We start from the raw sequence: 25,198 nt of genomic DNA, 5'->3' as shown, positions 1-25,198 counted from the left end.
CCAGGCTGGAGTGCAGTGGTGTGGTCTCGGCTCACTGCAGCCTCTACCTCCTGGGCTCAAGCCATCCTCCTGCCTCAGTGCCTGAGTAGCTGGGACTACAGGCGCATGCCACCACGCCCAGCTAATTTTTTTGTATTTTGGAATTTTTGAAGATCTCAAGTGATTCTAATAGACAGACAAATTTGGGAACCACTGGCATAGCTACCTTCCACTGTAGATGCTCCACATATATTCGCTGAGTAGACTATTTAAGCATTTAACTTTTTCTCTTCTTCTTTTAAACTGTCGCATTTCCTTTGAATTCTTATATAAAGATGGTAGAGAAAAAGAATCCAATCTTGGCTACTAGTCAGCAGTTAAACAGTAAGTTTAATACAGATTCAGGATTTCTTTAGCTGTATTATCCCTTATCCTTTTACAAATGATAAGTGGGGTTGGCTTCAGTTGCCCTTTGAACTAAGAATTAATTGTGATGAACTTTTTGAAGAGATCAAAAATTTCACCCGTTCTTGCTCCCAAGTGTATTTGTCTTTCATATCCATAGACAAATCTTTAGTACATAACACTAGTGGGTATTTATGATTAATTACTAAATTGATACATCATATACAAGTATATGGAGAGATGACAGGCTAAACTCTTCTTAATCTTTATTTATCAGAACAGAACAGTGGTAGGCTATGTAACAGGTAATTTTTTCCTATTATCTTATTGTATCTTCATGCCAAAACACGAAAGTTATGGTGATAGAACAATGTTCTGCTCTCTTCTACTAATCTGTTTATAGACACCAGCTCTGTGTCACAGCAAGTTCCTACAGGCCTTTCTCTTCTGGCTGTCATTAGTTCTATTTAGAACCATCTAACTTGAGTGAGTATTTTAAAGCAGTGTTGCTGAGTTTAAGCCATATAACCTTAATAGATTTTAGGGTTGCGAGACGTGTCAGAAGAAATGGTGTCAGAATCCTTTCTCCTTTCTGCAGTAGTGGGCCTGGCTTGGCCAATGTACATGAGAATGCATATACTTGCAGACATTGCCAATCTGATATATGATTATCTGGGCCATTTGGGGACTCTTTTTGCTTTCAAGATTATGTTGTTTCATTTATATGCTCCACTATGGTGAAGTATATAATTATTGATTTGATGTCAAATGGGTATGGTGTTATGGTAGATTTCAGCTCCTGTTCTACTTACCAAGATAAGTAGAAGGGAAAGCCTATGAAAAGAAAAACTTTCTATCTGAAAGAACATCTCTTTATTAGCCACAACTTTTCTATCTTTGGCATGAAGATAAAATAAGAGCAAAAATCCCCTCCAAAACAATCTAGCACTATTCTACAGATAAATAAGGTAAAGGGGGGTTTAGTGGTCAGGAGATTAGAAGGGAAATTCACATCTTTGCTTTATCCTAAGATCACCCCAGTTTGGGGTGTTGTCACAGTACCACTTTCGTTAATGTGACTGTACAAAAAATATTAGCAGTTTCTGAAATCCAGGCAAAGAACACTTTAAGATCAGCAAAATTCTGTAAAATTCTTATTAGGATAATACAGCTACAGTGGGTACCCAAATAACATTTAGAACACATTTTCAATTTTATTATGTTTGGCTTATATAATGATCCAACTTATATCGATGGTAAATTTGAACCAAGAAAATTCCACTTCAATTTTTTTTTTTTTAGAGACAGGGTCTTGCTCTGTTGTCCATGCTAGAGTGCTATGGTGTGATCACAGTTCATTCAAACCATCCTACCGCCTCAGCCTCCTGAGTAGCTAGGACTACAGGGGCATTCCCCCACACCCAGCTAATTTTTAAATTTTTGGTAGAGATGAGGTCTTACTATGTTGCTCAGGCTGGTCTCTCACTCCTGGCCTTAAGTGATTCTCCAGCCTTGGCCTCCCAAAGTGCTGGGATTATAGGCATGAGCCACTGCACCTGGCTAAGCACATGTAGTGGTACTATTTTAGTATAAAGCTATTAGCAAACGACACATCTATTCTTGACATTATTATTGTTTAAACTTAGGCTGCCTAATCTAGTTCAATGAGCTTTAGTTTTATAATTGATAAAATGTAAGCTTCTGTTACCTTTTAGGATTTTTGCCAGTCTGATAAGGGTTTGTGTATGTTTATTTTGCATTCCTTTTACAGTGAAGTTGAGCAGTTTTTTTTTTTTTTTAATATATTGAAGGTTTTTTTTCAGTTGATTGCCTTGGCCCATTTTTCTACTGAGTGGTCATTTTCTTATACATTTCAAGGAGCTCTTTATATGTTAGGGAAATTAGCCCTTTGTCTTTAATATGAGTGGCAATTTTTCCAGTTTACCTCTTACTTGACTTTGTTTATGACCCCCCCCCCCCGCTTTTTTTTTTTTGTTATGAAGAACATTTGATTGTGATGTAGCAGAATATGTCAATCTTTTCTTCTGTGGTCTTCTCCATGTTTTTTTCCTATATTTTCTTAAGTTACTTTTGTGGTTTTTCTTTTCTTTTTTTTTTTGAGATGGAGTCTCGCTCTGTCATCCAGGCTGGAGTGCAGTGGCAAGATCTCGGCTCACTGCAATCTCCGCCTCCCAGGTTCAAGCAATTCTCTGCCTCAGCCTCCAGAGTAGCTAGGATTACAAGCACCCACAACCACGCTCAGCTAATTTTTGTATTTTTAATAGAGACGGGGTTTCACCATCTTGGCCAGGCTGGTCTTGAAGTCCTGACCTCGTGATCCACTCGCCTCGGCCTCCCAAAGTGCTGGGATTACAGGCGTGAGTCACTGTGCCCAGCCTCTTTTCTTTTTCAAACATATAGATCTTTGATTGGTTTAAAGTTTATCCTGGCTTATGGTAAAACATATGAATACAACATCTGTCCCCTCAAGATGGCTCTCCTATAACAACATCATGTACTGAAGAGACCATTTTTTCCCCCACTGATGCCATCTTTATAATGTACTAAACTGCTGTAAGTATATTATTTATTTATGGACTTTAAAACTCTGTTTCTACAGTCTGTCTATTTATGCACCCATGTCGCACTGTTTTAATGTTTTACTCTTTAATGAATGATGTATTTTTCTGGCTGTATTCTTGGAGATAGGCGTGGGATCATGCTGAAGGGAAAACAAAATTAGAAAGAACTTTTTTTTTTTTTTTTTGAGACGGAGTCTCATTCTGTCGCCCAGGTTGGAGTGCAGTGGTGTGATCTCGGCTCACTGCAACCTCTGCCTCCCAGGTTCAAGCAATTCTCTGCTTCAGTCTCCCAAGTAGCTGGGATTACAGGTGCCCACTACCATGCCCGGCTAATTTTTTGTTATTTTTAGTAGAGACGGGGTTTCACCATCTTGGCCAGGCTGGTCTTGAACTCCTGACCTCATGATTCACCCACCTCAGCCTCCCAAAATGCTGGGATTACAGGTGTGAGCCACCGCACCTGTCCGCAAGAACCTCTTTATTATATTAAGTGTTCACAGCCATGAAAGTATTTGAATATGTCTTACACCGACCTTTTTGACATAAATTGTCCTATCCTAGTTGATGCTACTATTACAATGAAATGATCATGATTCATGAGATCCCAATTCACAAACTGACAAAGCAAACAGGAAACAATCCAACATAACAGGCAATAATTAGAAAACATTTTTGTCACTACGAAGAGAAATCCTTTGGTAAGATGAAATCATTTTGAAGCCCTCTGCTTTGCTTCTAACCTGGTTCGGTTCTTATCCTGTGTCTGGCTTCTGGGTATTGGCTTCATCTCGTATTTCAGATTCCGCTCTCATTGTTTGCATTTGAGTTTGGCATCTCATCTCCCTGCCTTTTGATTCTACTTTCCTCTTCTATAACTATCATTTTTCTGATTGGTCAGTGGGTTTATTTGCAGCATTGCCTCATTATTTGTAAATATTGTTTATTGCAGAGAATGTGACTACAGAAAAGGAAACTGTGATGCTCAAAGAAGAATGTTTTAAGTACTAAGTTTGACTGGATTCTTTTTCTTATACTGTATCTACTGCTCAAAAATCATGCCATTGATTTAGGTTCCTATTTGTACTTCAACTTTCCAACAAATATTTTTTTCCCCTCTTTTCAGAGTTTCTGCCCTTTTGTTTTCTCATTGATAGAAACAATGTACGCCTTTTTCCTTATTACCTAATATTATCTAGCTTCTTAATCGTGTTGTTTGCTGAGATTAATTCTGTACTGACTGCTTTTAAGACTGAAATTTCTTTTTATTGTACACTTTGGCAAGTTCCACTATTTCTTCCACTTCCCTCTCTTTCTCTCCCTTCCCCGCCTCCGGCCTCTACCTCCCTTTCTCCCTTTTTTTTTCTTTTTTTTTTGAGACAGGTTCTTGCTCTGTTGCTCAGGCTGTAGTGCGGTGGTGCAAATATGGCTCACCACAGTGCCTTCACTCTGGGGCTCAAGGGATCCTACTGCTTTAGCCTCCTGAGCCGCTGGCACCACATGCACCTACCACTGTCCCCAGTTAACTTTTTAACTTTTTGTAGAGACTGTGTTACCCAGGCTAGTCTTGAACTCCTTCCTCCCTCATTCTGTTTGTTATTTGATGGCATACAATTTATTAATGTTCTGAGAGGGTGCTGGTGCTGTAAAAGAAACATGCTTTCATGGTATTACTGCTCTGTCTTCTAAAATCAAATTTCTGAAAACTCTGATGCCATCCTGATTCTTTTTTTTTTTTTTTTTGAAATGGAGTCTCGCTCTGTCGCCCAGGCTAGAGTGCAATGCCGTGATCTTGGCTCACTGCAAGCTCTGCCTCCTGGGTTCACGCCATTCCCCTGCCTCAGCCTCCCGAGTAGCTGGGACTACAGGCGCCCGTCACCATGCCCACCTAATTTTTTGTATTTTTAGTAGAGTCAGGGTTTCACTGTGTTAGCCAGGATGCCATCCTGATTCTTTATTTCCTTGTAGGTATTTTCTTTCTTGCGAGAATCTTCTATGTCCTTTGGCTTTCCATCTTTTTACCTTTTTCTAAGTTTTTGGAGGGTTTAACTTTTCCTATATCCCTCTATTGGCAGTTTTACTTATACTTTATTTACTTCATGATTTTGACTTTCGCAATTCTTCAAAATATCACAATTTATTTTTATTTTTATTTTTATTTTCTGGAGACAGGTCTTGCTCTGTCGCCCAGGCTGGAGTGCAGTGGCACAATCTTGGCTTACTACAACCTCCGCCTCCTGGGCTCAAGCGATCCTCCCACCTTAGCCTCCTGAGTAGCTGGGTCTACAGGCATGCACCAACCATGCCCGGCTAATTATTTTTGTATTTTTTTGTATAAATGGGGTTTCGCCATGTTGCCCAGGCTGGACTCAAGCAATCCACTTGCCTTGGCCTCTCAAAATGTGGGGATTACAGGCGTGAGCCACTGCATCTGGCCTACTGATTTTTATATTAGGGAAATATTACTTTTCCAAATCTTTCTGAAGAAATTAATTATAACAATGTGGAAGTTCTTTTCTGCTCCAGAATTTGTTTTTCCCCCAGTTTATCTGTTTATTGCTATTTTTTTCCTTCTATGCTTTTTCTTCCAGTTTCTGATAGTTTTTGGTTGTGTGATCCCATTTATGAATAAAGGACCAGCTCACATGTTTTCTTTCTGCCTTATGGCCTTTTTTATTTTTTCTGAGACAAGGTCTGGCTCTATCACCCAGGCTGGAGTGCAATGGTGCGATTTTGGCTCACCTCTGCCTCCCAGGCTCAAGCAATGGTCCCACCTCAGCCTCCTTGGCAGCTGGAACTCCAGGCATGTACCACCATGCCTGGCTAATTATTTTTTTATTTTTTTATCTTTCATTTTTGTGGAGATGGGGTTTCACCATGTTGCGCAGGCTGGTCTCAAACTTGTGAGTTCAAGTGATCTGCCTGCCTCGGCATCCCAAAGTGGGGCTATTCATCTTAATGACACCATTGAGTACAATCTCTGTGTACGTGGATGCGATAATTTGTGTAGCAGGATTTACCCTAAGGTTCTCAGGCAGAAAGGAAGCTCCCTTCTCAAAATGACAAAATGTAGAGTATTCTAATCTAGAGCTTCGTTTCATTCTGGCAGTTCTAGCCTAGGCCTGGCAGATGCTTCATTAATTTAGAAAGTTATTTTCAAAATATTTTTTAAATTCTGTTTTAAATTTATAGAAATATTATTTGTTCATTGTAAAATTCAAAAACTGTAAAAGTGCCTTCCCTCAATCCTCTTTTCCTTTTACCACTTGTTTAAGACATTGATTGATCGATTGACTGAGACAGGGTCTCACTCTTATGTCCAGGCTGGACTGCAGTGATGCGACTGTAGCTCACTGCAGCCTCAAACTCCCCAGCTTAAGCTATCTTCCCATCTTGGCTTACCAAAGCTCTGGGATTTAAAGTGTGAGCCACTGTGCCCAGCTGAGACAGTTTTAAAAAAATTGAGACGGGGGCTGGGCACGGTGGCTGACGCCTGTAATCCCAGCACTTTGGGAGGCCAAGGTGGGTGGATCACGAGGTCAGGAGATCAAGACCATCCTGGCTAACATGGTGAAACCCCATCTCTACTAAAAACACAAAAAATTAGCCAGGCGAGGTGGCGGGCGCCTGTAGTCCCAACTACTCGGGAGGCTGAGGCAGGAGAATGGCATGAATCCGGGAGGTGGAGGTTGCAGTGAGCCGAGATCGTGCCACTGCACTCCAGCCTGGGCGACAGAGCGAGACTCCATCTAAAAAAAAAAAAAAAAAATTGAGATGGGGGTGTGTTGCCCAGGCTGGTCTTGAATTCCTAGGCTCAAGTGATCCACCTGCCTCAGGCTCCCAAAGTGCTGGGATTACAGGTGTGAGCCACCAAATCTGGCCAGCTGAAACGTTTCAATACTATTCTATAACGTAGTCTGATAAAATCTGATATGCTTTTATACTAACTTGCAGAAAGTTAACAGTACATGTTGTAATTCTAGTATATCAAATACATAATAAAATTACCATTACTATATGAATGAACGAACCATTCATTAACATTAACAAATGAAGAATTGCATCTGATTATACAACTGAAACTTGGACTAAAACTAAAAACTAAATAACAAAAACTATGTTGCAGTATAATAATTACTTTTCAAAATTGAAGAGTTAAGGGCAAGGATGTTCTTGTGAAATTTCCAGATGATGATGATGATGATGACGACTGCATAAACAATCTCTATGAGAGAGATAAACTGTTCTTTTGAATCCAAAAGCATGCATCTTGGCCATTTAATATTAACTATTTGCATAAGTGGTGGCATATTAAAACAGCTCAGCTGTACAGCAGCTGCTTAACAGTATTGCATAGTTGATGCCAATAAATTGCTGAAAGTTGTAAACTCTGCAAAGATGTTGGCAAGGAGACACATAGATAGCATTTCTTGATGAAAATAGCTTTGACAAGCATAATGCAAACTATGTGCTCCACTGGTAAATGGAAGTGCTTTCATATGGGAGTAACAACGCATCGTGACTAGTAAGTCATATAACTCTGTGCATCTCTCTTGAAGTAACACAAGGTAAAAACCAGTCTTGTTTTAAACCAAATACATATATATTTTGGATATTTAAAATTAATTAATTAATTTATTTGAGATGGAGTCTCGCTCTGTCACTCAGGCTGGAGTGCAGTGGCATGATCTTGGCTCACTGCAACCTCCACCTCCCGGGTTCAAACGATTCTCCTACCTCAGTCTCCTGAGTAGCTGGGATTACAGGCATGTGCCACCACACCTGGCTAATTTTTGTGTTTTCAGTAGAGATGGGGTTTCACCAAGTTGGCCAGGCTGGTCTCAAACTCCTGACCTTGGGTGATCCACCCACCTTGGCCTTCCAAAGTGCTGGTATTACAGGTGTGAGCCACCATGCCCAGCTTTAAACTTCATTTAAAAGGTTTTTTTTTTTTTTTTTTGAGATGGAGAGATGGAGTCTTGCTCTGTCACACAGGCTGGAGTGTAGTGGCACGATCTTGGCTCACTGCAACCTCTGCCTCCCAAGTTCAAGCGATTCTCCTGCCTCAGCCTCCTGAGTAGCTGGGACTACAGGTGCACACCACCATACCTGGCTAATTTTTGTATTTTTAGTAGAGACGGGGTTTTCACCATGTTGGCCAGGCTGGTCTCGAACTCCTGGTCTCAGGTGATCCACCTGCCTCGGCCTCCCAAAGTGCTGGGATTACAGGCGTGAGCCACTGTACCTGGCATTTTTTTTTTTTTTTTTTTTTTTTGAGACAGAGTCTTGCTTTGTTGCCCAGGCTGGAATGCAGTGGTGCAATCTCAGCTCACTGCAACCTCTGTCTCCTGGGTTCAAATGATTCTCCTGCCTCAGCCTCCAGAGTAGCTGAGACTACAGGTGTGCACCACCACGCCCAGCTAATTTTTATATTTTTAGTGTACACGGAGTTTCACCATATTGGCCAGTCTGATCTCGAACTCCTGACCTCAAGTGATCCACCTGTGTCAGCCTCCCAAAGTGCTGAGATTACAGGCATGAGCCTCAGTGCCTGGTCGGGCATTTTTTAATAAAGCATTTTATGACGGAAATTTTCAATGACACAAAAATGGAGGGGATAGAATACTGAGTCCCCACTTTCCACTGCGCAACTTCAATTATCAACATTTTGTCAATATTTTCTTTCTCAAATAGCGTTCCTGAGATATAATTCACATACCACACAGTTCATCCATTTGAAGTGTATAATTCAATGGTTTTTAGTATATTCACAGACACATGCAACAATTACCAGTCAATTTTAAAATATTTCCATCATCTCAAAAGAAACAAAAAACAAAAACAAACCAAAACCTAAGAAACTCTGATTGCTTTAACTATACCCTCCTATCCTGCCATGCCCCCATCACTCTAATTCTAAGCTGTCACTAATCAATCTACTTTTTGTCCTTGTAGAATTCCCAGTTCTAGACAGTTCACATCAGTGGAATCATATACCGTCTGCTTTTTTTGTGACTGGCTTCTTTCACTTAGTATAATGTTTTTAAAGTTCATCCATGTTGTACCATCTATCAGTACTTCCTTCCTTTCATGGCAAAATCATATTCCACTGCATGGATATACCAAATTTTGTTTACTCATCAGCTGAAGGACATCTGGGTTATTTCCACTTTTTGGTTACTATGAATAATGTTGCACTCATAAACACTGACACATTTTGAAACAGTGAAAAGTTTTGTGTGTAAATTTTTGTGTGGATATGTTTCAATTTCTTTTGTTTATATACCTGGGCATAGAGCTGCTGGGTTGTATGTAACTCTATGTTTAACTGTTTGAGGAACTACCAGGATTGTTTTGTCAACACTGTTTTATCTATTTCCTTACCAGATTTTCCCCCTGATATATATTAACACATATTCCAGATCTCAGATAATTTCTTTTTCTTTTTTTTGAGATGGAGACTCACTCTGTCACCCAGGCTGGAGTGCAGTGGCATGATTTCCGCTCAGTGCAACCTTCCCCTCCTGGGTTCAAGTGATTCTCCTGCCTCAGCCTCCTGAGTACCTGGGATTACAAGGGTGTGCCACCACTTCTGGCTAATTTTTTGTATTTTTAGTAGAGACAGGGTTTCACCATGTTGGCCAGGTTGGTCTTGAACTCCTGACCTCAAGCAATCTGCCCGCCTCAGCCTCCCAAAGTGCTGGGATTATGGGTGTGAACCACTGTGCCCAGCCTCAGATAATTTCACTTGTAAATACTTCAGTGGGAATTTTTAACAGATAAAAATTTTTTAAAATAGCAAAATATCATTATCCTATTTAACATGATTAAAAATAGTTTAAAAGAAAATATAACTTTAATTCAAAGTCATCCATTCTACACTCTAAATGCTCAACAAGAATTTTAAACTACTATTAAAGCAAATATAATGTATTATTTTTAAAAAGTTACTTTGAATGCAATACCACTATACACTACATAAAGGACAAAACAGATTTTGTACTGCAAATTGTAGAATAGTATTAATATCTGCAACTGCAAACTGCTGTTATCTACAGCCCCTCGATCTCCCTATCTAGATACTTGCTTCCACTTGTAGGGTAACATCACCCTGGGATTGTCTCTTTGCCTCAAAAGAAGTATATACAAATTTTAGGTCTGGAGGGAGGAAGAGAGGGGACAGAAGTGAATGTTCACTGAGTATCTACAATGTACCAGGCTTTGTGCTGAGTATCTTACATAATAATTTAATTCACACTCAAATACCAAGAAGTAGATATTACTTTAATTTTGAAGAGAAGAAACTGAGGCTTCAAAGACTCAAGAAGGGCCAGGTGCGGTGGCTCATGCCTGTAATCTCAGCATTTTAGGAGGCAGAGGCGGGTGGATCACGAGGTCAAGAGATTGAGACCATCCTGGCCAGCATGGTGAAACCCCGTCTCTACTAAAAATACAAAAATTAGCCGGGCCTGGTGGCATGCGCCTGTAGTCCCAGTTACTTGGGAGGCTGAGGCAGGAGAATCACATAAACCCGGGGGGCGGAGGTTGCAGTGAGCCGAGATCACACCACTGCACTCCAGTCTGGCGACAGAGCGAGACTCTGCCTCAAAAAAAAAAAAAAAAAAAAAAATAAATAAATAAATAAATAAATTACAAAAAATAAAAAAAACTCAAGAAGGCCAGGCATGGTGGCTCATGCTTATAATCCCAGCACTTTGGGAGGCCAAGGCAGGTGGATTGCTTGAGTCCAGGAGTTTGAGACCAGCCTGGGCAACATAGCAAGACCCCTTCTCAAAAAAAAAAACAACAAAGGAAAATAAAAAAATTCTAAATAAAAATAAATAAATAAAAAGAAGGCTCAAGAAAATTAACCATGTTCATTTAGCTACTAAGAAGTGAAACAGCATTCAAATTAAGTAAGGCCTTTCTGGGGTCAAAGCTATCATTATACAATAATGCAGATGCCTTCCATCAATGTCTGTGATACACACAATTTCAGGTTTGGAAGAGATCTTCAAGTTATTTAGCCCAGTCTCTCTATACAATTAAGAAATCCCCTCTGACTATATGGCCACCTAGCCCAGGCTTTAAAAATGAAGACACATTAGGTATTAATCTAGGTTTTCCTTACTCAACTATAAAACCAAAACACTCCCGTTTCAAAAAGAAAAAAAAAAAAAAGTAGAACAACAAAACAGGATGTGTCTCCTCATAGCATCTAGCCTTTGGTTTAATTCTGGACTTTGGAGACATGTGTAACAAATCTCTTACTGCCTGTTTTACGTGCCTACTTTGAATTTCTTATCTTTCACTAAGTCTTATCTTCTCTAAACATCCCCAGTTTCATTCATCTCTCTTATGACTGAAAAGAATTCTTTCATCATCCTGTTTTCCTTACATTGAAAATTTTTGGGCCTAGAACAGAATAAAGAAAGAAGTACTGACTAGAGCAGAGCAGGTTTATCTACTTCTTATTCTAATACATTTAAGATGACAGAGGCCGGGCGCGGTGGCTCACGCCTGTAATCCCAGCACTTTGGGAGGCCGAGGCAGGTGGATCAGGAGGTCAGGAGATCGAGACCATCCTGGCTAACAAGGTGAAACCCTGTCTCTACTAAAAATACAAAAAAATTAGCCGGGCGCGGTGGCGGGCGCCTGTAGTCCCAGCTACTCGGGAGGCTGAGGCAGGAGAATGGCGTGAACCCGGGAAGCGGAGCTTGCAGTGAGCCGAGATTGCGCCACTGCAGTCCGCAGTCCGGCCTGGGCGACAGAGCGAGACTCTGTCTCAAAAAAAAAAAAAAAAAAAAAAAAAGATGACAGAAACATTTTTGGAGCTATACCCTATCTATGACTGAAGGCTTAGTGAGAGCTCATGCTTTTATACGAATGATAGCAAATGAGAGACAATTGGGCTGTTACAGCCTCCGGGACATAACTAATCACCTGAAACATTCTTTCACAATCATGGATATGATCTTAGGGTAATTCTCAACAGTGATCCAGATAAGAAGCTATTATTAACACACTGAAGTAGGTTCCTGAATTAAAATCTACTGCTATTGTTGACTTAAAACAGGAGTGTGGGAACCTTAATTCTATTCTGATTGGTTTGCTCAGACCCTTTTGTGCATCTCATTACTGATTACCCTGGACTTCTCACTACTTTCCCCACTCTGCTTTCTGACATTCATGTTTTCTTGATGCCTGGCTTTGTGACCAAGTGCAATTGCTTTCCCTTCTATTAACAGTAGTCATCTGGCTGCTGTCTAGTTTCTGGTCTTAACTTTTTCATCAAAATTTTTTTTTCCTTCTTTTTTGTTTTGTTTTTGAGATAGGGTCTCACTCTTGCCCAGGCTGGAGTGCAGTGGTGCAAGCACAGCTCACTACAGCCTTGAAGTCCCGGGGTCAAGTGGTCCTCCCACCTCAGCCTCCCATGAAGCTGGGACTATAGGCACGAGCCACCACATCTAGCTAATTATTTATTTTAAAAAATTTTTTTTTCTAGAGATGGAGTCTCATTATGTTGACCAGGCTAGTACACAACTCCTGGGCTCCAAGCAATCCTTCTGCCTCAGCCTCCCAAAGTCCTGGGATTATAGGTGTGACCCACTGTGCTGGACCCTGGCCTTTACTATTTCAGTAGTGTTTGATGGGTTTTGTTGCATATTCTTGTTGATTTTCAGCATCAACTTCAGACTTTAAACCCTATCCTCCACTTAGAGCACTGGTTTTCAGAGTATGACTCACTCCAGTGCCTGTACCTTCTCCATGTTGTATTCCAGCCTTCTCTTAGTGTCAGCTCCTTGATACGGGATCAGTGACTTAAGTTTACAACAAGATATTGCCAATATGGTGTCTAACAGAATTATGACTATAATTATCTCATATAATTGTTAATATTGTCTCCTGGCCACCAAATATTTTCTTTTTCTTTTTCTGTTTTTTGAGACGGAGTCTCACCCTGTTGCCCACGCTGGAGTGCAGTAGTGTGATCTTGGCTCACTGCACTGCAAGCTCTGCCTCCCGGGTTCAGCCATTCTCCTGCCTCAGCCTCCCAAGTAGCTGGGACTACAAGGCACCCGCCACCGCCCTGGCTTTTTTTTTTTTTTTTTTTTTTGTATTTTTAGTAGAGACAGGGTTTCACCGTGTTAGCCAGGATGGTCTTGATCTCCTGACCTCGTGATCCCCCTGCTTCGGCCTCCCGAAGTGTTGGGATTACAGGCGTGAGCCACTGCGCCCGGCCTGGCCACCAAATATTTTCAGAGATTATACAGTTTCAGAGATTTTACAGTTTTGTAGTTTTTTTTTGTGTGTGTGTCTCCTTATGTCTCAGAATTGTTTGGTTTGTTATAAGCTGCTACTATTCTAAGATAGTCATATAAGCACAGGGTTAGAAATGATAGCAAGAGAAGTCATTTACTTGCTCCTTACTGACAAAAAAAGGTCAGAGAAATGTACTTTTAATTTAACCGAAAACATATCACAAGCTTCTAAAATGCAGTGGGAAAATACACATTTCATTCTTAAAAAAAGAAACCTAAAAATTGCTAGGTCTATATGTTACATAATAGATGTGAAAATGTGATATAAAAAATTAAAAGGGTATATATGCACAGATAAAATATTTTTATGATGAGATATTAATATATTGGGTCACACAAGACTGAACTGACTTGTAGGATACAACAAAGATATTTATAATTTAAAAGAAGATAATGAAAAGATTAAAGAAGAAATCAAAATACTTACAAAAACCAAAACAATTTTGACATAGTTCTATTAGGTTCTATACAAGCCTATATAAACACAGTGGTCCAGAGAGTACAATCTAAAGGAAATTCAAATGTCTTTTACACAACTCAAAACTGAGGAGAATTAACATTTTACAGAATGAACAACTGTGATTCAGTTGTTGCCTCTGTGAAATGGGTGTAAGAATGAGCTGTTGTGAGGCTTAAATAAAATAAATGAATATAAAAAACTACAAGATAATATATCAATATTAAACACACTTATTATTTACTGAAAAGTATGTATTTTGGGTAAAAAGCCTAATTCCCTCTTGAATCCTAGAAAACATAAGCAAAAGGCCAATTCTCAGCAGAGAAGACTAATTTAAAACTTTTCCTTTCTCTGATTCCTCATTCCCAGATACACTTACTTGAAAGTAATTTGTAACTGGTTCCTAAGTAGGGTAGTATAACATAATTCATCTGAAAGCATTTTAGAGTTTGATAGAAAAAGATTATAAAAATTCAAGATATATTCTCACTGTTAATACAATAGCTTTAGCTTTCTCATAAAGTATGTGTGTAAATTCAACATTTGCAGTATTTTTTGCAACATTTTAGTCCCTAAATTTCTTCAGACCTGAAGTCACACACCCTTACATGGAAAAAAAAAATCTTTCTAAAACTTTATAGGGAAAATATGACTTGTATCATACATGTGTTTTTGGTTTTCACTATAATAATTATCTTTCTCTTTAAAAACACTCATTTATATCCAACAAATCGAAAACAGTTTAACTTGAAGAGCACCACTATGATGAGAAATGTATGTGTGAATCTGAGAAACAAGTATATTTTCATTTAAAGAAAAATTAATTTACCCGCTCAGTAGTTTTTTTTTAGCATGCTGACTGTAAAATTTAACTACATAGGTGCATAAGAAAAACATGTAAAAAGATACTCTTAAGAAAATTTCAAAACAGTTAAGTATGAACCGAAAGAGTGACACACATAAAGAAAAATGCAATTTGTTGGAACTTCTTATGAAGTGGATTGCCTAAGGGGCACTTGGGATGCTGAAATGTCCCTGAAATCTTCCGAGAAATCGCAAAGAACATATGAGTTAGAATCTGGGAACACAAACATACCATAAAAGAATGATAATTATACTGTGATTTCACTTTCAAGAAACCTGGCTAACTGCAGGGTTTGTTTTCTTTTCATTATCTGACATACACTGCTGTAAGAAGAAAGTTATCCAGGATAATAAGAATTAGTCCAATGTTCAGGTAAGTGTGGGGCCTTGTACATTCTAAGTACTTAGTAAGGAGTGGTTGATTAATTCTGGTTAAATACTAACTGAAATGACTGTGGGCCCTGAGAAGTGTTATTGGCAAAAACACTGCAATGAGAGGATAGAAGATATCCCAGGTCTCAGAAACAAATTTTTCTTTTTTCTTTGATACAGTCTCGCTCTGTTGCCCAGGCTGGAGTGCAGTGGTGCAATCATGACTCACTGCAGCCTTGACCTCCTGGGCTTAAAGGATCCTCCCACAACAGCCAACCGAGTAGCTGGTACTACAGGTTTGTGCCACCATGCTAGGGGTCTTGCTGTGTTGCCCAGGCTGGTCTCAAATTCCTAGACTCAAGTAATCCTCCCACCTTGGCCTCCCAAAGTGATGGGATCAGAGGCCTGAGCTACCCTGCCCAGCCAAAACAGATGTTTTATATTCCACAAATATATATGATTCTGTATAAGTGTGATAACCATAGAGGTTGCTGTGCCTACAACTACCATCTCCAAGGTTTTAGGAAGTAGCTCTCCTGTAGACAAACCTTTGGGATATGACTTCCTATGGCCTACTTTCAGTAGTATGTATCTAAAATTGTATGTAAAAGTAGTATGTAAGTAAAATTTCAGTAGTAGTATCTAAAATTGTCCTTGGATACAGGAGAGCTTCTGTGCTTTCTTCAGCTAAAATATTTCAGTATCAGAGTGACACTTATTTTTTGATGACAGTTTCTAAAGCTTTCTATTTGACAGCTTTATATTATTGAAGATTGAAAAGAACAATTAGTTTAAGAAACATCTGAATGAGTACTTATTATCTGCTAAATATTGTGCTAAAGGCTAAAGTACAAAAAGGAATTTGTCAATCTAATGGGTAAGACAGATGCTTAATTACATAGTAATATGAACATTAACAGAAATATTTAAAAAGTTATAGGAATGAGGTAGAAAAGGGTATGTTTTTCTTTGTTGAGGTAGGGAGGGCTTCAAAGGATAGATAATATTTTTTTATTTTTATTTTTTGTGTTTTTTTAGATAGGGTCTAGCTCTGTTACCCAGGCTGGACTGTAGTGGCACGATCACTGCTCACTGCAGCCTCAACCTCTCAGGCCCAAGCAATCCTCTCACCTCAGCTTCCTGAGAAGCTGGGACTACAGACATGTGCCACCATCCCTGGATAATTTTCATATTTTTTGTAGAGACAGTTTCACCATGTTGCCCAGGCTGATCTTGAACTCTTGAGCTCAAGCGATCTGCCTGCCTTGGCCTTCCTAAGTGCTGGGTACAGGTAGGAGCCACCGTGCCCAGTCTCAAATGATAGATAATATTTAAAAAGACCCTTGACACAGAAGGAAATGAGGAAAGGGAACTACATTCATTGAGTTCTGTTATATTCCAGGAACACTGCTATATTAATTCTCACAGAACCTTGCAAAGTAGATATTACCTTTATTTACAGATGAGATAACTGAGTTTAGAGGGGTGAAATTATTGTCTCAAAAATGCACTGCTATTAAGTAGCAGAGCTGGGATATGAATACAAGTCTTGTCTGTCTGACTGCTGGCTTTTTCCATAGTATTTCAAAATGTAGAAGATGTAAGGAATATAAAGGTAATGCCAGTCTTACAATTTAATGAGAGAGTTGAACATATTTATATGTACATATAGTAGAAAGTAGAATGTAATTCTGGATCAGTCTAGTTTCCATCTTCTATGTTTACACCTGGGGTGCTAAGTGCTGCTAAAGAAAAATTACACAGAATGGTACTACTATAAGTACATAACATTTCAACTTGGCAATTCTTTTATGTACATCATTCATTTATTACACAGCTACTTCAAAATTCATTTTTCTCAAAACACTGACTGTACCACATCTCTTTCTATTAGAAAACATCCATTAGATGGGAACTCTCTAAATACTTACCACTAAACCTATAAACTTACTTCTATTTTCACATAATTCTTTTTTCTATTCTTCAAAATGGAAAAGGTAACACTGGTGGTCTAAAGCTGATTCCCATGACTCTGCTATGGATCTCCTTTCCTATCACTTTTGCTCAATTGATTATCTCTTTCTTTTGTGTACTTTTAATGTCTATTTTGCTTCTTCCTGTCACCATTTAAATTGTGTAATCTCTAGCTTTGAGAGGCAAAAGCTTTTTTTTATTTTTATTTTATTTATTTATTTATTTTATTTTATTTTATTTTTTTTGAGACAGAGTCTTGCTCTGTCACCCAGGCTGGAGTGCAGTGGCATGATCTCAGTTCACTGCAACCTCCAACCTCCACCTCCTGGGTTCAAGTGATTCTCCTGCCGCAGGCTCCCGAGTAGCTGGGACTACGGGTGTCTGCCACCACGCCCGGCGAATTTTTGTGTTTTTAGTAGAGACAGGGTTTCACCATGTTGGCCAGGCTGGTCTCGAACTCCTGGCCTCAAGGGATCCACCCACTTCCGCCTCCCAAAGTGTTGGAATTACAAGCGTGAGCCACCGTGCCTGGCTCAGCAAAAGCTCTTGATCTCATGCCCCTTCCTCAATTGTCCTATCTTTTCTTCTTCAAATATTCTAAGGATTGCCTATTTTTCACTGGTATCTGCTTTTTAGCTCCAGCTCCATTGAAACTGCTTTAGCATCTTTTTCTTTTTCTTTTTTTTTTTTGGAGATAGGGCTCTGACTCTGTCACCCAGGGTGGAGTGCAGTGGTACTATCTTGGCTCACTGCAACCTCCACCTCCTGGGCTCAAGCAATTCTCCCAGATCCTCCCACCTCAGCCTCCCAAGTAGCTGGGACTACAGGTGCATGCCCCCAGGCCTGGCTAATTTATGTATCTTTTGTAGAGATGGGGTTTCGCCATGTTGGCCAGGCTGGTCTTGAACTCCTGAGCTCAAGTGATCTGTCTGCCTCAGCCTCCTCAAGTGCTGGGATTACAGGCATGAGCCACCGTGCCGGCCCTTTAGCATCTTATTAAATCCAAATGACTCTTTTTTAAAAATCTTTCTTTGGCCTGACCTCTTGAGAGCACGTCACTGCGTACAACTGGCTCTGTTATGAATGGTTCTCCCTGGGCTTTAGGGACTCTACTCTCTTCCTGATGCTCGTCACTGATGCTGGTCACTCTTCACTCTTCTTTGTGTAAGCACTTTTTCCTATGCCCTTCCCTTAAATGCTGGTACTCATTAAGATTCTGTCACAGGCCTTTTTCTGTTCTTACTCTATATAGTCTCACTAGTTCATTTACTCTATTTCCATGTAAAGTAACATCTTTATGTTGTGACTTTCAAATTTCTATTAACAGATGAATTCTCTTTCTTGGGCACAAGAACCTACATTTCCAACTCTCTAGTGTATATATCCACTTAGATATTTTCTTGAACTTTTCTTCCCCAAACCTCTTTCTTCTAGGTTCTTTGTAGCACCACTAAAGACACAAGCCAAAAACCTAGGCATCAATTCTCATCCCTCCTCTCTTCATCAGTCCCTAATGTACTCAAATCACCAAGGACCGTGATTATGCTTCTTAATTTTCTTTTTTCTTTTTTTGAGACAGAGTCTTGCTCTGTCGTTGCCAAGGCTGCAGTGCAGTGGCACAATCTCAGCTCACTGCAACCTTCGCCTCCCGGGTTCATGCCATTCTCCTGCCTCAGCCTCCCGAGTAGCTGGAACTACAGGCGCCCACCACCATGCCTGGCTAAATTTTTCTATTTTTAGTAGGGACAGGTTTCACTGTGTTAGCCAGGATGGTCTCGATCTCCTGATCTTGTGATCTGCCCGCCTCGGCCTCCGAAAGTGCTGGGATTACAGGCTTGAGCCACCACGCCCGGCCAATTATGCTTCTTAAATAGCTTTCAAATCGGTCCATTTTTGTTTCACCTCATCATCACCAATCTAGTTCAAGACACCACCTTCACTCACTGAAATACTGGAATAGCTTCCTAAGAGGTGTTCTTCCCACTGCCCTTCTACAGCTCCAAGAGCCATGAGAAAAGGGCTTCTACATCAGCTTCTAACGACTGAGCTCAGTATTCTATTAGGCATTTGGCTGATGAAAGATACTTTTCCTACTCTCAAAAGCTTATATTCTAAGGACACGTGGATAAAATATATACAAAGAAAAGCAGAATTAGAATTTCCAAAGGTGATCAGTAAATCTTGTTTCGTTAAGGCAAAGATGAGTGGATAAAAACAGATGAAAACTAAATGCAATTAATGACGATTACTGAGTGATAAGCTCAAGAAAGAAGCCATTTTAAGGAGTCACATTTCTCTTTTTCTAAAAGACAGTGTTGCTGTCACCCAAGCTGGAGGGCAGTGGTGTGATTATGATTCACTGCAGCCTTAACCTCCTGGGCTCAAGCTATCTTTCTGCTTCGACTTCCCCAGTAGCTGGGAACACAGATGTGCACCACCATGCCCAGCTAAATTTTGATTTTTTTGTGAAGATGAGGTCTTCCTAGGTTGTCCAGGCTGGTGCTGAACACCTAGCCTCAAGCGTTCCTCCCACCTTGGCCTTTTTGAGTGCTGGGATTACAAGTGTGAACCACTGCATCGGGCCTGAAATCACATTTCTTATACTCAAATCTTTTCAAAATGAATGTTTTATTTGAAGTCCTGCTACTGTTATCTAAAAGTGAGTTCCTATCAGTTTATCTTTTCCTTTTACCTCTTTTCAATATCTAATTATTTAGGTTTATATTTTATTTACACCTAAGAGGTCTTAATCCGAGTACAAGTGAAGACATTTTAGAGTAAGATAGATTACAACCCACCTGAAGGAAACAGATAAAGTTATTCTGAGGTATCAAAAGTGAAAGAGGAAAAAAAAGATTATAACACCTGGATAAGATATTCAGCTCTGAGTTTTCTGGCAATGAAGACAAAAAGGAAACACATTAAATTACAAAGTTTTCATTTTATGAAAAAAAGAAAGAGGAATATAACTTCACGCCCAGAGGCAAAAATTTTCCTGGAATATACGCAATAATTCATCATGAGTTTTTTTCTGTCTAAATGAGACTAAGGAAAAAGAACCTTAGTTTTGTTTCAGGGAAAAAATGAATTACTTTTAGTTTTGACTACGTAATCACAGTTGAGTTATTTAACTCTTATCAGCATCAGTTTCATCTCTAACAATGAGGACAATGATATTTATCAGTGGACTGTAGTAAAGATTAGATTATGTCATTTATGTGGATGTACTTAGTAGACTGCCTTAGTTTTACAAAACCAAGAGAGATCACACTTTGTTTTGATCTTCTACAAAAGCAGAAGGCATGACATTAAACTGTTCTTTAATAAAATAAATTCTGTGAGGAGAGATATTTTGCCCTTTCCCCCTCTGCTTTATGAACATTTTACTGAATATAGGGACAAAACCTGGAGAATTTAGAATGGAGAAGTGTGGGCAGGTATAAGCTCTCAATTCAATTTATGCACATTTTTAAGTTAGTATTTGTTGTGTAAATCCTTTAACCTAATATATTTACCCAACCCAGTTGAGCTTTGTAGTCTGAAAAGTCAACCTAAAATATCCTATTTCTCTCTACGGCCACCTGCTCTTCACGTTATATCATTCTGAAATTAGTTGTTGAATATATTTTCTCGCAAAAAAAGTTAGGACTAAACATCACCTAATATTCCACTCATAGTTCAAGAAATACTCAATTGTAAGAGATCAATACACATTCCTGGAAATTGTCACACCACACCCTAACTCTTAACATGAGAGAAGATACTTTTAAGCTAATATTTTTGAGCTAACACTAATATAGAAAATAAAAACTCTCTGTGGTCATGCCCCAAATGTTTCTGAATTGTCAACCTAGAATTGTCCTACTTGCTTTTTCTGTTTAACACATATTTTGGAATTATGTAAATGAACTGGTGATCTTACTTCACATTACATGAACACATACAGCCTAATCAGAACTAAGTGACACTGCTAAAAAAAGTTAGAGCTAGGCTGGGTGCAGTGGCTCATGCCTGTAATCCCAGCACTTTGGGAGGCTGAGGCAGGTGGATTGCCTGAGGTCAGGAGTTTGAGACCAGTCTAGCCAACGTGGTGAAACCCCATCTCTACTAAAAATACAAAAAAATTAGCCAGGTGTGGTGGCATGCGCCTGTTAATCCCAGCTACTTGGGGGGCTGAGGCAGGGGAATTGCTTGAACCAGGGAGGTGGAGGTTGCGCTGAGCCGAAATAGCGCCACTGCACTCCAGCCTGGGTGACAGAGCAAGACTCCATCTCAAAACAAAACAAGACAAAACAAAACAAAACAAAACAAAACAACACAACATTAAAGCAAGAGCTGTCCAATGCAAAAAAGAAAATAAGAAACTTTAAAAAGTTCATTTGGTCTCTTTTTGAATCACTCATTTACACTGTCCAAATTTAACTGATTAAAACCAGACTGGTATCAGATAATTTTCCCAGGGTATTGACCAGGGTGAGACAAGCTAGCGGCCTTAGGTAAAGAAGCAGTGGCTCCCAGGGGCCGTCCATGTTCTTTGCCCACTCTGAGAGTAGGCACCTCCTTACATCATGTGTCCTAGATGCCTTGCTTGCCTCACCCTAGTCCCAGCCCTGATTTTCATTTTCAAAAAAAAATCAGAATTATTCTTAACCAATGTTATCTATTGACTATTATGAGGACATGATCCTCTGAACAATCAAGTGAATAAATCAATCCTGTTTCATCAGGTAAATGTTCAAGTGAATGGCCAAGCATTTCTAGGGGGTCACACCAGCTGTTTTCTTTCCATATATGCAATTTGCGGAGGCCTTTGCATGTGTATATATGATGTAAGTTGGTAGTAAATGGTTTCTTAGAAAATGATTAATAACATTAGATTTGTTTTACTAAGCTTTAATTTTTACTTTGCTTTAAAACAAAAAAAGTTGCTTTTCTTTAGATGTTTGGTATCATCAAAAGCTATACAATGTTAAATTATTAAAACATACTTGCCAAAATAAAGATATACTGTCAAATACATAAAAACTGACAATTATCTAAATATGCATCCATACAAATACCAGTAATAACATGTAGTAGTAGGCAATTAATGAGTAGTTTCATCTTGCTAGTGTTTAAATTTCTCCCTCCTTCCCTCCCCTCCTTCGCTTCCTTTCTTCCTTCTTCTTCTTCCTCTCCTTCCCTCTAACCCTCCCTCCCTCTTTCTCTTTCTTTCTTTTTTAAAAGATAGGGTTGCACTACATTGCTCAGGCTGGAGTGCAGTGGCTATTCACAGGTGAGATCAGAGTGCACTATAGTCTCAAACTCCTGTGCTCAAGTGATCCTCCTGCCTTAGCCTCCAGAGTACCTGGGACTACAGGTGTGTGACACTGTGCCCAGCTCTGCTAGAATTTAATTTGCATGCTTAAACGTATTTTCTTCTCAATCCACCACGCAAAGTTTTTTGGTTTTTATTTGGACTCATGAGTAATGTGATTCCAAGTGTTGGAACTGCTCATATATTTTTCAGTGTAGCACATCCCCTTAAAATCAAATGAGAATTGCCATTCTGAAAAAAAAATTAATATCTAGCTTTAAAAAAATGTAGTTGATATGGCTGAATGGTCATCTGTAGTTACTACTCTTAAATATTTAATTTCAAAAACACTTGCGAAAATTCCACATAGTGAATGAATCAGGTTTCCACAGTGAAGAAACAATTACTTGAAAGCAGAATCCTAGGACATAAGTGACAGCAGCGGTGATGGATAAGGTCTAGAATGTCCGAACTCAGAAGAAAGAATAAATATCTTCAGAGAAGCTTTTCCTAGCTCTGTAACCTGTTGTTAGATTGACTTACCTTCCTAAATGTTATCATTACAATCTAGTCCTGGGACACTTTCTCATCCTTTTCACCCATCACATAGAAGACACCTTTAAGAGAACTCACTCCAATGCCATTTCTCAGATACAGACAATCCTCCAATTCTTCTGACACCATCTCTAGGATACGTACCTTTGAACTGCTTCCAGTAATAGTTTCCAGTTCCCCTCTCTCAACAATATTCTCCCAATAATTTCTTCCCAACATCTGGTATACCTCTCCCAGACTAGTATCAGGATACTCATAAACCAATGATATGTTTTAAATGTTTTGTTTTCTGGTCGGGCGCGGTGGCTCACACCTGTAATCCCAGCACTTTGAGGATTGAGGCGGGCAGATCACTTGAGGTCAGGAGTTTAAGATCAGCCTGGCCAACCATGCCGAAACCCAGTCTCTATTAAAAACACAAAAGTTAGATGGCATGGTGGCATGCACCTGTAATCCCGGGTACTCAGGAGGTTAAGCCAAGAGATTCGCTTGAACTCGGAAGGCAGAGGTTGCCGTGAGCCGAGATCATGCCACTGCACTCCAGCCTGGGTGACAGAGCAAGATCCTGTCTCCAAAAAAAAAAAAAAAAAAGTTTCTTTTTCTATTAGAATAACAAAATGGTAAAAAGATGGCTAAGATGAGGCAGTGATAGTTCAGTAGAAAAAAGGCTTTGTGTTAAAAATACCAATGGTTGGTGACGATGCAGAGAAACTGGAACTCTCATTCATCGTAGAGGGGGAATGCAAAAGTATAGTAACTTTGGAAAATTTTGACAGTTGCTTATAAACTTAAACATACACCTGCCATACAATGCAGTAATCATGTTCCTGGGTATTTACCCAAGAGAAATGGAAACTTTTGTTTATATTAAAATGTGTACATTAATTGTTTACAGATATTTTATTCGGAGATGTCCTCAAATGGAAACAACTCAAATGTCCATAAACTGTGAATGAATTAACAAACTGGGTTACATCCATATAATGGCTTATTACTCAGCAATAAAAAGGAAACATATGACTAATGTAGATGTATGTACAGGCTCACACCTGTAATCCCAGCACTTTGGGAGGCTGATGCAGGCGGATCACTTGAGGTCAATATATTATACATCTGTATTGCAACAATATATATGAATTGCAAATGTATTATTGTAACTGAGAAAAGCCAGACTCAAAAGGCTATATACTGATAATTTCACTTTTATAGCATTTTGTAAAAGGTAAACAATAGTTACAGAAAATACACCCGTGGTTGATAGGGCTGGGGGTTGAGGAAAAGGGTCAGCTAAAAAGGGGTAATGAGGGAATTTTGTGGAGTAATAGAACTATTCTATATATTGATTGTGGTGGTGCTGACACAACTGTGTGCATTTGTCAAAAATCACAGACATGTCTGCTAAAAAAGGTTAATTTTATTCTTTGTAGATTATAACTCAATAAACCTTAAAGGAAAAAAACAAAACAAAACAGAACTTATCTCTTAGTTACTAACTGCCATGGGCAAGCCACTTAAAACTCATTTCTCCATCTATAAAATAGGAATTATATTTACTCTAAAAGAATTTTGGTAGGGAACAAATGAAGAAAAGAAAATAATTTTATGAACTTTAAAGCTCAACACAAATTATCTACACTACAGGCACTGGGCATACATTGATAAAGAAGACGAGAGGCACACTAAGGAAATTAACTGTCTAGTTGCAGAATAAGATAAAACAGATTATTATTAAATAATATGGGGAAATTCAGTGACAGATATCAACACAACAAGAAGGGGTTATTCTAGGAATAAGAATTAACTCTAAGAAGTATATCAAAAGTTGAATAAAAAAGGACAAAATTACAGTGAGACATAAATAAGAGAAGTCATTAATGAACATGCACAACTGGGATCCAATAATTTTAACCTGATAGCAGTTTTTAAAAAAGCCTAAAATGATTACAATTATGACAAAATAGGAAAAATACCTCACGATGATTTAGAAGTTGTTCTAAATCTAATGCCATTTGATTCTTCGTCTGTAGTAAAGCTGACTTTTCTTTATTTAAGTTGCTGAAAAAAAAAACCCCAGTTTTAAAAAGTCATTATGTTAGTATAAATATAGTTAATAAATGGTAAATATTAAAAGAATAAACATGAATCTGATGGTTTGAACTAAAGATAAATTTATAGTCCATAAATATTCCAGACCAGCCACTAAAATGTTTGGCCCAATGAATGGCCTATTTTGTCAGAAGATCTTTTTCTTTTCTTTTCCTTTCTTTTTTCTTTTCTTTCTTCCCTCTCCTCTTTTCTTTTCCTTTCTTTTTTCTTTTCTTTCTTCCCTCTCCTCTTTTCTTTCTCTTTCTCTTTTTTTTAAAGAGATGGAGTCTTGCTGTGTTGCCCAGGC

At 38.9% G+C, this 25,198-nt stretch overlaps 1 protein-coding gene across 9 annotated transcripts in view; it reads right to left on the bottom strand.

Moving 5' to 3' along the window:
• PIBF1 (progesterone immunomodulatory binding factor 1) overlaps positions 1 to 25,198 on the bottom strand; it is a 234,329-nt gene that overhangs the window by 18,010 nt on the left and 191,121 nt on the right. For 4 of the 9 annotated variants that reach the window (NR_146205.2, NM_001349655.2, NM_006346.4 and 1 more), the window contains one exon: positions 24,777 to 24,861. The exons of the other annotated variants lie outside the window; for them this stretch is intronic. Coding sequence is in view for 3 of the 4 variants with exons in the window: in NM_001349655.2 (NP_001336584.1) it covers positions 24,777 to 24,861 (85 nt within the window). In the remaining variant the exon portion in view is untranslated. The remainder of the gene's footprint in view (positions 1 to 24,776; positions 24,862 to 25,198) is intronic. 9 annotated transcript variants of the gene reach the window in all.

Source organism: Homo sapiens, chromosome 13, assembly GCF_000001405.40.
Source record: "Homo sapiens chromosome 13, GRCh38.p14 Primary Assembly".
NCBI classification, from domain to species: domain Eukaryota; kingdom Metazoa; phylum Chordata; class Mammalia; order Primates; family Hominidae; genus Homo; species Homo sapiens.
The sequence above is the reverse complement of the archived record's forward strand: the minus strand, read 5'-3'. Positions and strand labels throughout refer to the sequence as shown.